At 43.1% G+C, this 13,049-nt stretch overlaps 3 annotated features.

Moving 5' to 3' along the window:
* Positions 10,261–11,062: an enhancer, noted in NCBI's record as "OCT4-NANOG-H3K27ac-H3K4me1 hESC enhancer chr16:51392697-51393498 (GRCh37/hg19 assembly coordinates)". NCBI's record gives its function as "activates a minimal SCP1, AML or CMV promoter by ChIP-STARR-seq in naive H9 embryonic stem cells {active_cell/tissue: H9 hESC(naive)}" and the evidence as "EXISTENCE:reporter gene assay evidence [ECO:0000049][PMID:30033119]".
* Positions 12,179–12,348: an enhancer, noted in NCBI's record as "experimental_43383 CRE fragment used in MPRA reporter constructs". NCBI's record gives its function as "activates a minimal promoter by MPRAs in K562 erythroleukemia cells, with activity observed for both the introgressed and non-introgressed 16:51394700 variant alleles {active_cell/tissue: K562}" and the evidence as "EXISTENCE:reporter gene assay evidence [ECO:0000049][PMID:34662402]".
* Positions 12,804–12,973: an enhancer, noted in NCBI's record as "experimental_43384 CRE fragment used in MPRA reporter constructs". NCBI's record gives its function as "activates a minimal promoter by MPRAs in K562 erythroleukemia cells, with activity observed for both the introgressed and non-introgressed 16:51395325 variant alleles {active_cell/tissue: K562}" and the evidence as "EXISTENCE:reporter gene assay evidence [ECO:0000049][PMID:34662402]".

Consider the following 13,049-nt stretch of genomic DNA (forward strand, 5'->3'; position numbering starts at 1 on the left):
CTAGTTTCAGTCTAAAGATACCTCTAAGTGTGTGACCTTAAATTCATTTTTATACTGCCTTTCCTGGAACTCTGTTCTTGGCAATCTGAGCAACTTACAGTTTGCTAACTTACATTTCCATAAACAGCTCTGTATATGTGACAACTGTTTAGAAATATGTTTCTACCTCTTTAATTCCTGTGTATGTGACATATAGCTCTTTTATGCCTTCATTATAAGAAAAACACAGAAGCCACTTTTTTTGCATTTAAAGCAGAGATGAAATAGGTAGCATATTTCTGATAGGGATGATCAACTGTGGCAGTAACAGGGCTGTAAAGTTTGACCTTATGAATCTGGAATACTATGGCCGCTGGGAAGTGGAGGCCTCCTGTATCACTGGGTCTGTCTTGTCATCCCGTCACCCCCCCGAACTCTCTTTGAAGAGATAAAGTGGCTTTATTTTCTCTCCAACTCAAATAAAGTGTATTCTTTGTCATCTGTTAGTAGGTCTTAGGCTCAGAGGATAGTTGGACCTTCCGCAGCCAGATACCATAGTGAAACTGACATGAAATATAACAGCAGCTTACTGAATCTTTACCAGGTGCCAGCCCCATTCTCAGCCATCACTTAAATCTTCTGCCCAGTACCAATCTTGGAACCAGGCAAGACGGGCTCCTGCTTTGGTCCCTGTGTGCATGTGTGTGCATACATTTTCCATGAGCTCTGCCTTGGCTCTTTGCTGGCTGTGCCTTTCCCCCTGGGGATGAAACTCTGGGGCTAAAGGCATATATTCACCTGTAACTCACATCTCCTCTTCTAGTCCACACTCAGGGTGTCCAGGACCTCGGAATTTCCTGTCTGTGGCTGCACACACCTCTCTCCTAGGTCTGTCCTCTCAAAGGAGGATGGCACTGCCGGTGTATGTCCCCATATCCAAGAGGTGGACAACTGGGGTGGGGTGGGTATCAGAGTGGAGGGGTATCTGGAGTAGGGATAGGTAGATCATGCACTTGAGAACCCCTTTTGTGTTCTGCTTCTTCAGCCCTGCAGATGTCAGGAATGGGCCTGCTCACTACAACTCTGTGAGGTTTTCTTATTATTTATCTTCATTTTATAGAAAAAGAAACTGAAACATAGAAAAGTCCAGACATCTCCAAATGCACACATTGAGTGGGTCAGGGAGCCTGGATTTTTAACTCAGGCACCTGACTTCAGAGCCCCCAGCTTTATCCATGGTCCTGACAAGCAGCAGTCCCCCTTCTGAGATCACCACTACCTGGTGATGCCATGCTACAGTGTAACAGGGAGATCATGACAGCTACCCCAGAGGCAGCAGCAGCAGCAGCAGCAGCAGCAGCAGCCGCCGCCATGAGGGCTTCCTGGGAGCAGGCCCTGCATTGGGTGTTCTGATGCAGTGTGTTAGTCAGGGTCCTCCAGAGAAACAGAACCAATAGCATGCACGTGGTTTCTCATAAGGTACTGGCTCATGTGACTGTGGAGGCTGGGACCCAGGAAAGCTGATGGTGTCATTGGAAGGCCTGAGAGCCAGAGGGCTGATGGTACAAATGGTATAGATTCCAGTCCAGGTGTAAAGCCCTGAGAACCAAAAGTGCTGAGGGCAGGAGAAGATTGATGTCCTAGCTCAAGCAGTCAGGCCAAGCAATCCCTTCCTTGCGTTTTTGTTCTATTTAGGACCTCAGAGGATTGGATGATGCCCACCCACACTGGGGAAGGCCATTTGCTTTGCCCAGTCCACCAATTAAAATACCAGTCTTTTCCAGAATTACCCGCACAGACATGCCCAGACATAATATCTAATCAGCTCTTGGGACATCCCATGGCCCAGTCAAGATGGCGCGTAAAGTTAACCATCACAACAAGTCAGAACAACCTCAGCCTGGAGGCAGAGTCCTGGAGAGGTCCTTTCGGGTCAGGTGTTACTCACTTAGTCACTGGATTGCAGATGGATCCTGGGGGTCAGTGGGGGCCTGATCAGTGGCTGAAAAGATCAGAGGGCATGAGGGCACTTAGTGACTTCACTAAGCCTGGACCTTTAACCAATATTAAACAATGGGATGAACTGAGAATGTTTCCCTAAACCTGTGTTATCCAATAACATATCTACTAGACTCAACTGGCTATTTAAATTTAAATTGAGTAAAATTAAATCAAATTAAAATATAGCTCCCCAGTCACACTTGCCACATTCCATGTGCTCAATAGCCACACGTGGCTGGCAGATACCCTATCAGAAACACAGAACAGTTCCATCACTGCAAAAAGTTCCACTGGACAATTTTTGAGTAGCCTTTGCCACTATTATTGATTTTGAAAGGACACATTTCCAACCTGTATTGGTCCGTTCTCACACTGTTATAAAGAACAACTTGAGATTGGGTAATTTATGAAGAAAGGAGGTTTAATTGGCTCACAGTTCCACAGGCTGTAAAGGAAGCATGGTTGGGGAGGCCTCAGGAAATTTACAATCCTGGCAGAAGGGCAAAGGGGAAGCAACCACCTTTTTCACATGATGGAGCAAGAGGAAGAGAGAGCAAAGGGGAAACTGCTACACAGTTACAAACAACCAGATCTCTCCTGAGAACTCTATCATGAGCCAGTACTAGCGGGATGGTGCTAAACCATTAGAAACCCCTGCCATGATCTAATCACCTCCTACCAGGCCCCACCTCCAACACTGGGGGATTACAATTAGACATGAGACTTGGGTAGGGACACAGAGCCAAACCATATCACAACATTTTTGCCTTATTTCCAAGTGTCAAATAATTTTTATACTGATAGGCCAAAACCGGTTAGGAAGTGTTTGAGGCAGCAGGTTAAATTGTGCTCTTGACTTTTAAGACCTTTAATATGCTCATGTGCATTTTCACTATCCAAGAGGGAACTAGAGAAGGCAATGTTTTCCAACTTATTTGGGCTAGATTATCTTAATTTTTTCCATATGTATTGGGTCTGATGTTCCATCTATAAGGTGCTCCATCCAAGTAGGAAATGTTTCTTTAGAGGATGAATGTGAAGCCAAACTTGTTGGGACTCTTTTTCCTGGAAAATCAATTGCCACGTAAGAATTCAGGATACTCTGAGACCTGCATGCTGGAGAGCCCTGTCCAAAGCATCAGACACAGGGGAAGCTACCTTGGTCCCTTCAGACGAGACCAGCCATTCATTGAATACTTCTGTGTGACAACAGTTGATGCCCAGAGGGATTGACCAGCCATACACTGCCCCAACTTCTGACTTAAAGAATCCAGGAGATATCATAAAGTGGTGTTGCTTAAGCCACTAAATTTTGAGGAGTTTCTTATGTGGCAGTAGTATCCAGGACAGAATTTCTCCACCAAGAAACTAAAAGTGTTAAGAAATCAGTCACTTACCCTTAGCTTACAGCTTCTTTTCAGTCCTCAAAAGAAAAATAAAGTAAAACAAAAGATGCCAGACATTGATTATTACAAAAAGGGAGCTGGACTAAGATATTTAAGGGCAAAGAAAGCTAAAGGCAAATTCTGATTATGTTAGTTATCCATGCTGCATATCAAATTACCCCAAAATGTATTGGCTTAAAGGGACTGGATAATCTTACAGTTTCTGTAGGTCAGGAATCTGGGTGAGCGTAAGTTATCTTCTGGCTCGGGGTCTTTATAAAGCTGCTGTCAAAGTGTAAGTTGAGGCTGCAGTCATCTCCAGCCTCCACAGGGGAAGAACCCACTTCTAAGCTCACTCATGTGGCTTTTGGCAGAATTCATGGACTGAGGCCTCAGTCCTTCCCTAGCTGTTAGCTGGAGGGCACCTTGGTTCCTAGCCATGCAAACCTCTCTATAGGGAAACTCCCAACATGACAACTGGCTTCAACAGAGCAACTGAGAGGCCAAAAGAAGGTGAGTGTATTAGTCCGTTCTCACAATGCTATGAAAAAATATCTGAGACTAGGTAATTTATAAAGGAAAGAGGTTTAATTGACTCACAGTTCCGCAGGGCTGAGGAGGCCTCGGGAAACTTACAATCATGGCAGAAGGGGAAGCAAACAATTCCTTCTTCACATGGTAGCAGGAAGGAGAAGAATGAGTGCCAAACAAAGGGAGAAGCCCCTTATAAAACTATCACACCTCATAAGAAGTAATTCACTATCACAAAAGCAGGATGGGGGAACCACCCCTGTTATTCAATTATCTCCACCTTGTCCCTCCCATGGCATGTAGAGATTATGGGAACTATAATTAAAGATGAGATTTGGATGGAGACATAGACAAACCATATCAGTAAGCAAAACAGAAATTGCCATCTTTTGTAACCCACCCTCCGAAACAACATCTTACCACTTCTGCGATATTCTATTTATTGTAAGCAAGTCACTAGGTTCAGCTCACATTCAAGGAAAGGGGCTTAAACAAGGGCATAATTAATAGGAGGTGGGGACCACTGCCATCAAAGAACCTGCCTACTCTACACTGACATTTTGTTAATGGGAGTCAGGTTGCAGTTACCTGATGGTTAGCAAGGTTCTTGCACTGACATGGAAAAAGCAGTGACAACATCGTATTATATAGGATATGACCATTACAAATGGAATACAACAACTCATATCTGCTTTCCCAACATATCTGCCTTCAACCCCTATTCCCCCCATTGCCCTTCTTGCTTGTGGATCTTTGCCAAGTTCATGCAGCATTGTGGTCTAAGGTATGGAAATCTCAAGCTAGACTTTCCATGTGGTAGCTTCTAGTAGTTCTGCTTTCTTGGAAAACCCCACGTGTTCTTTTGATCCTTCTGCCTTTGCTCTGTGTTCATTACTGACCTAAAGAGCATAAAGTTAAATTCATCTTATCTTAGCAGCTGTTGTATTTCTCCTCCCAGAACATGGGAAGCACAGTAAGATAATCCTTCCAGCCCAGCAGAAAGAGAAGATTCAACATGCACACTGCGGTGAGGATAAATAAACTCACCTGTCATATATATTAGCTAAGGTTATAAGGTTCCAAGGTATCACAAGAAAAGCTTCTTAGATTGTAAAGTGAATGTACTAAGGTGCAAAATTAATAATATGCTCAAAATTAGCCCCTGAAAAATTTTCTTAACTTCCACATAAAGTACAGAATACATTTTGTATGCACCCTGCAGGTTATCGAAAAATTTATCACCTGGGCTTTTCTTTGTCCTGCATTGGAAAAGATCATCATTTCTTTGACTGAGGCACAGATGAAGCAGTTGCCTTGGTTTACTGCCATTGTTTTATCAAAATATTCTTATTTAGTTATGTATCACCCAGCAGGTTTATGAGAGTTTATACAAGTTGAAAGAGTGTATTTGGTTTACTGTCTATGTGTTTTGTTTGTTTGTTTTATCAATAAAACAAAGAAAACAAGGAGAAGAAGTAGTGTGGACTCAGAAAATCTAGTAATAATGTGGCTCAGTGGTTAGTTACCTTATTCTGTAAAGAAACAGTAAATAATTTAGGCTTTGCAGGCCATACTTCTTCTGTTGCAATACTTCAACTCTGCCTTGGATCATGAAAGCAAACAAACCTAAATAATGGTCATAGCTGTGTTCTAATAAAGCTTAATTTGCAAAAAAAAATGTGGTGGGTCAAACTTGGACTATGGGTCATGGTTTGCCAAACTTTGGCATAGTTAGTTGAGTGATTACTTGTCTGGTTTACTTTGCATTAAGTCTCTAAAATCATCCATCCTTCCATTTACTCACCCATTCATGCAGCCAATTAGCTAGGCACCCATTCATCTATCCATCTATCTACACATCCATCCACACATCCACCCATTCATTCATCCATTTACCCATCCATCCTCTATCCATTCATCTATCCATCCATCCATCCATCCATCCACCCATCCATCCAGCCACTTATCTAGGCATCTATCCATTCATCCATCCACCTATTTATCCGTTGAGTCAACTGGCCATCCATCCATTCATTTATTGATTCAACACATGTTTATTGAGGGCCTGCAGTACACAGGAAGCACAGACATCAATAGTAGGTGGAATATTATTCTTTTTATGCTGAGCCAAGAGGACACACGGTAATTATGGCTCTATACCGCAACTGTCACTGAGATTAGTGAAGCTGAGGCAAGTCCCCAAAGTCAGGACATTTGCCCTTTCACATCCAATTGCCTTTTACACCCACCTTCATTCCAAGCTGTCTCTTTTACTTCTTAATTCCTCCTTGAGCTGCAAGAACAAAAAACAAACAAATAAGCACATCTCCTTAACGTTAGAGCTGCAATGTAAAATCCCTTTGCCCAGGCAAGGTATGGAGTGGTGAGATAAACAGACCCTTTGAAAGGTGCCCTTGTGTCTCCTTTGCAACCTACAGAACTTCTCATCCTTTCAAATTCTGATAGAAGTAAGAGTTTCTGTTTAGTTCTTTCTATTGTATACTTAGCCATATTTGTAAGACCTTTTTGTTGATCCCAAACCCTTTAAGTGTTGTCGCTGTTACCTCTGGGAACAAGTAAAGAGCCTCCACTAACCCCAGAGACATTTCTGAAATTATTTAATCCTGAAAAATTTCTAAAATTTACCTCAGGCCTGCAAAAATTACACAAATGGCTAATGACTAGCGCCCAATGCTATGCCAAAGATGTGACATTGCCCCCCCCCCCAAAATACAGAATAAATGATAAGGGGATGAACATGAAATATCTGGGTTAATTTCTGATGTGGTGAGACAAATTGACACATGCATGTGACGATCTTTACATAATGAAAGATCTTTCTGTGAGATCTGCCGTTTCTCTCCTGCTAACACTTCTTCTAGGAGTTAAGATAATAAGAGTCACTGCTTGAAGGGGCTTGGGTTTGCCACCAGGTTGCAACATTGGCTCCAGCCATGAGGTGGCCTCTCTTCAATTGCTGGCTGGGCCTTCTGATGTGTGCAAAGAGCTTCGAAGTCCCTTTGGTTTGAACAGGTGCTGAAAGCTGGGGAAAGCCAAAATATTTTTTTCTTTCTGGGTCATGAACTGTTTGCTGTTGGAAACATCTGTATGGACAGGCGTATGGGCTAAACAAAACAGAAGCGCAATGAACGATGATACCAGTCTTTGCTAGGGAGCCCCCTGAGGACCCCAATAAAGTTCACTTTTTAAGCACGAGCTGTGCACAGCGACAGGCAATGAATTATCCACGTTGGTTAAAAGGCCAAGGTCACCTCATAACAACGTTGCCCATATTCTGCAGTTAAGTCAGGCCTGTCCCCAAATATTATTTGGGGAAGATGTGTGTGTGTATATGTGTGTGTGTGTATGCATGCATGTGTGTGTGAGCATGCATGCATGTGTGTGTGAGCATGTTCAGAGTCAAGCGATGATGTAGGCCCGCTTTCAGTAGCAAAAATCACCATAATTAGAGGAAATGCTACAAGTTCATTTCCGCAAAAAAGAGCAAGTGAGGGAGAAGGAGCTTAAAGACTAGATGTTTAGACAGGCCTGCAAGCCCCCTTGTGACCTTGCTCTGATATTTAACAAAACATTAATCTTCTTGCCAGCAATTATAAAGGATACAGTGATGTCGCTGGCTCTCGGAGAGTGAGTAATAGTAATTCCATTGTTCCCCTTTATTTATGCCTTGGCTGTACCAGGCAGATGAGGTAGGTTGGGGCTTTGATATGTTATTATTCCGCACTGGCAATACATAAAGGATGATTACACAAATATCTGTCTGTTTCGGAGGCACTGTTTCACACCTCCTTACAACTCCAGATCAAAGCGTTTCAACATTTTATTATGAAATCATGGAAATCCTCCTCTAGTTTGCATATGAATTGTAGCCTTTTTTAAAACTGCCTATGTACCCCAGTGACAGTGGCTTTTGAACCGCAAAAGGGAACAAGGTGTTAGATATTTATTCCTTGAAGGCTGTGCTAGCCGGATAATCTTGCCGAATGCTTTTCGCCAGGGTACTGTCCAAGATCCAGCAAACACAAAAGCTTGCAGGTGGGGGGACCCTCCATGTCACGCAGAGGCCAACGATTTCTCCTTCTCTTGTCAGGAAACAAAATGTGGTGTGAAAGCTTCCCTGTGGGAGAGAAGAAGAAAGAAAAGTTTATGCACCTTGCAATTTCAAGCTAAACAAAAAAAAAAAGCCATCTTTGCCTTCCTAAAATAAAATAAAATCCTTACCCAGTGGTTGGAGTGGTGGCTGTGTTTACTATAGGTGATGGCCTCTGAGGTGTCACTCAGATTTTTGCCCACATTGACTTGGCAAAAACAGAGGAGAATCAGTGGCTTCTTTTGTGGGATTCGCATATAAACTGAGTATCTCCCTTTTTAGTTGACCTCCTTCTCTGGGGACAATTAATAATCTCCCTTGGAGTGTGGAGGGTGAGAGGGAAGTTGCCTGACAATTTTGATGTTTCCAGCATATATATGTGCCCCGGGGTGTTGCTTCTTTTACAGGGGTTTTTGTTTCTTATGTGGATCTATAAGGAGTACACAGACTGCAAGAAATCAAAGCCATTTTAGTGAAGGAAGCTTTATTTGGGATGGGAAAGGTCCATTTGTAGTTACAGAAGATAGAGTTTGAACTTGAGATTCTCTGGCCTTATGGATGGGCCTCTGGCTTTGATTAGCACCTGTGGGCTGGGCGCCTCTCAGAGACCATAAAGGTGACCTGTCTTATGAAACGTGGAGGGCGAGGAGGTGCTTCATGGAGGACAGAGAGGAAGAAAGAGAAGCAAAATCATGTTCCTTTTCTGAGGGAGTCAAACAAAGTGTTATTCTACATGGAATGGATTCCAAACCTCAGCCCATCCCTGGTCGTGTGCAGGGAAATGGACACTGACCATATAGGAGACAGCTGACCCTGTGACTGAAAAATCAACCTCCCTGTTTTTGTAGAGTTGCGTGTGGTGTAGATGGCAAAGTGAGGAATTGCCAATGTTTCCTGCAAAGGAAGGTGTATCTGCAGGCCTGATTGTGCCTCTTGCTGGCTTTCATTCAAGGATACTTCAAATTTTGTTAGGACATACTATTCTTACAATAAAATATTTGTCTTCGTCTCAATTAAGAGCACCCTGAAATGTATACCATTATACATAAATAGCTTATGGAGTGACTTATAGTTTACCCCGTTTGGCTTAAAACCAGCAGGGATCTATCAAGATCACAAATCCTACCCTAACTTTGAAGCCTGTCCTGGTACCCACACCCCGCTACTTACAGACAATGTGATAGTTGACACCGTACTTAACTTCCACCATCCTACCTGCCTGTCTCTATTACTCATAGCCAGCAGGAAACCTTTGCTCATGGTCTGACCTCTCCAACTATCAGACCCCGTCTCTCCTCTCAGACCTTCTGACCTTCAGACCTGTTGACTCATGCCACTTCCCTCTACTCAGAGGGGCAAATAGTTTTATTTTATAAAGTAGCTTTAAATGATTGGTAATGTCTACCAGGAATACTGTGTTGAGAAGGATTATGAAGCTTAGACTGGACTAGGGGGTGATGGAGAAGAGCAGCTTGATTGATTGGTGATGATTGATTAGTGAGGATTGATTAGTGATGGCTGATTAAGGATGATTGATTAGTGATGGCTGCCATAGTCATAGAGGAGAAAAGCAAGCAACTGTGCTGAGCCTACAGAAGTCACAATGTCTGAGCCTGCTGGGCTGCCCACATTTCCCCTTTCTCCCTCCAAATGCTACCATCCTCCCAAATCCATAGGGGAAAAGGCCACCCTTAAGAATTTGCACCTAGAATACTGAAATGATTAATGATGTGTTCACAAATTGTTTGCATAAGGAATACTTTCTTCTTGTCATCCTGAGAAAACATGATATTGGTCTTCTAACAAAACTTGGAAAGTTAACTTGAGAGAAACCTTTTAGTTGCTCTACAACAGCCTCCTCATCAAGTAAATGTATTTCAGCATCAGGGATTAAAAAAAAAAAGTCTACTTTTGCAGGTCATCTTTTGGGATTCGTTAGGATTTGTTAGGTCACCTTTTGGAATTTGAGCATTTGTTAGAAAACAAATTCTCACCGCGAATCCTTGTGTCCTGCCCCCCCTATATACTTTAAGATATAAAAGAAGCATCAGAAATGGCCCTTCTTATAAAGAACCTGCTAAGATGTGAAAGGGCCAAGAAAGAGGATGAAGGAGAATGGTGAAAATGGCCATAGGGTGAATATTTCTGACAATAGCACTGTGAATAATAATAATTGTAACAGCACTAGCACACAGTTTGAAGGCTGTCTATGTTGCAAGTATTGCCCTTTATAGACATTTAATCCTATGGCAATCATATGAAATAGATAGTCTTACTGTAATGGTATCTTTCTTTACAGATGAGGAAATAGAGGCACCAGGAAGTCAAGATAAGGGCAGGGTTAAGACCAAGATGATTGTCCACATTGCTGGAACTTTTTTTGCATTTGGCTCCTGGGAAAATAGACTCCAAAAATTTACTTGGGTCTTTATTTAGCAAGAAATAGTATTGGTATTAAGATAGAATATTTAGATTTCCAAGAAAAAAACCAGAGTCAGAATAATCTTTTCCCTTGTAAATAAAAGAGAGAGAGAGAGAGAGAAGGAGTGAAGGGGTAACATTCCTCGGTGTGAAAAGCATAAAAGTGTCCCAGCGCTGGGCTGGCCTCCTGCTGCTGGGATGTCCCCCACCCCTGCGTTCTCCTTTCGGCCCAGCAGCCCAGCTGACATGTGATGGAGGCTCACAAAGGGAAGAATTCCACAGGCTGGGCTCTGAGCTTGTCCATAATTTGTTACATTGTTCCCCCACTTTGCTGCACGTATGAGATATGCAAGACCCCCGACAGCTCTGAGACCACTGCGGTGGCTGGGCACAATGGGGGGGCTCTGAAGCTGAATTGTGGCCATAACCTGGAGTTCCTTTGCCTTTGTGACTGCCAATAGGATGCTTTAAGTCATTGGGGTGGGCCTTTGTGAGTGCGATTACAAACCAGGAGAGGAAGGGTGAGGAAGCAGGGCTATCTGTGCACGCACGTGCAACAGTTACTAAGCTCGTGTTTCTGGGGCAGGCGGAATAGGAGCTGGGTGTTTATAACATGGTCATTCTCCTTTACAGAATCCTCTGTGAGCCGAGCTGCTAACCACTATGACAGGACTTTGTTTGGGGAGCGTGTTAAGTTAGCTTGGCTGTTTCCACCTGCTGCTCAGACCCACTGGTGACATCATGCTCGCAGGCTCACTGGCAGGCTGGAGGATTCTAGTTTCATGTCCAAAGAACAAGCAAAAATGGAGCCGATCCATGTGGGAATGGTGCCCACATCTGAGGCCTCAGTCACATGTGTCCTGAGAGCTCTGGTCAGTGTTCCCGCAGTCCATGTCCCAGATGGCCCTCTTTTGAGACTGACCCATGCCCCGGAGCCAGAGCTCTGGTTCCCTGGCAACCGTCCCTCCCTGCCTCTCCTCACCTCCCACCCTGTCCTTCTGTAGACACCTGCAGCTGGGCTGCAGCAGGCATGTAGCCATTTGGAGACTCAGTTTCCTTATCTTTAAAATGGGGGGAGCCTACAGCTCCCTAAAATTTAGGAGGAGAGGGCTAGGCCCAATCATTTCACACACTTGCTTTGTATCTCTCTGCTGCTTCCCTGTCCATTTAAAAAATTATAAAGCAGGTATTACATATTGTATACATGCAGTACCTCTGTAGGTGCTGAAGCATAATAAAAGGAAAAAAAATCATGCACTTGCCACTCAAATTAAGAAATAGAACATCGCCAATATGGTAGTGTTTTCTGTATGTTTCTCTTCTATCTCATTCCACTCTCATAAAATATGGGTCAGGTTCAGTGGCTCATGCCTGTAATCCCAGCACTTTGGGAGGCCAAGGCAGGTGAATCACTTGAGTCCAGGAGTTCAAGACCAGCCTGGCCAACATGGTGAAACCCTGTCTCTACTAAAAATACAAAAATCAGCCAGGTGTGGTGGCACACGCCTGTAGTCCCAGTTACTTGGGGGGCTGAGGCAGGAGAATCACTTAAACTAAGGAGGTGGAGGTGAGCTGAGTGCAGTGAACTGAGATTACACAACTGCACTCCAGCTTGGGCAACAGAGTGAGACTCTATCTCAAAAAAAATAATCAAAATATGTACATCCCTTCAGACACACACACACACACACACACTTAAAAATAAATAGAGATCATTTTAAATGTTGGGAAAGTTCAGGCCCATATGAAAGTAGAGAAAATATTTGATGGGTTCCCAAGTGTTCATCACCCAGCTTCAGCAGCTGGTAACTCCTGGCCACGTTTGTTTCATGCCTACTCTCCTACTTTCTTCCCCTTCATATTATTGTGAGACCAATCTCTTATGTCACTTCATTTCTTCTAATTTTGAAAAATAAATATTTTCTTTCTTTTTCTTTTTTTTTGAGACAGTCTCCCTCTGTTGTCTAGGCTGGAGTGCAGCAGCGTGAACATGGCTCACTACAGCATCGAACTCTCTGGCTCAAGTGATCCTCCCACCTCAGCCCCCTGAGTAGCTGGGACCATAGTTGCATGCCACCATGCCTAGCTATTTTATTTTTTATTTTTTTTGTGGCCTTCGTTGCCCAGGTGGGTCTTGAACTCCTGGGCTCCAGAGATCCTCTTGTCTCAGTCTCCCAAAGTGCTGGGATTACAGGTGTGAGACACTGTGCTCAGACTTGCTTTTCTTTATAGTTTTACTGCATGTGTATATATTTCAAAATTTATATATTTTTAGTTTTCCTTCTCTGTGTATTTTATAAAAGCAGGATTATTTCGTGTGTTTTCTTCTGCAATTTTTTAAAATTCAATTTTATGTCTGGAGTTCATCCTCCTTGGCATGTGTACCTGTAGCTTATTCACTCCTGCTACAGAGTAATATTTCATTTTATGAGCATTCATCATTTATTTAACCATCTGTGTATAGGCATTTAGATGAGTTCCCGTTTAAGCAATTTTAAACAAAGCTGTTGCAAATATTGATAGACATGTCCTGTGGATCATACATGCAACAATTTCTCTAAGTAGAGACCAAGAGATAAATTTTTAGGTCTTATCATATGACCCTTTCTAACTTTATACAA

Source organism: Homo sapiens, chromosome 16 (assembly GCF_000001405.40).
Source record: "Homo sapiens chromosome 16, GRCh38.p14 Primary Assembly".
NCBI classification, from domain to species: Eukaryota; Metazoa; Chordata; class Mammalia; order Primates; family Hominidae; genus Homo; species Homo sapiens.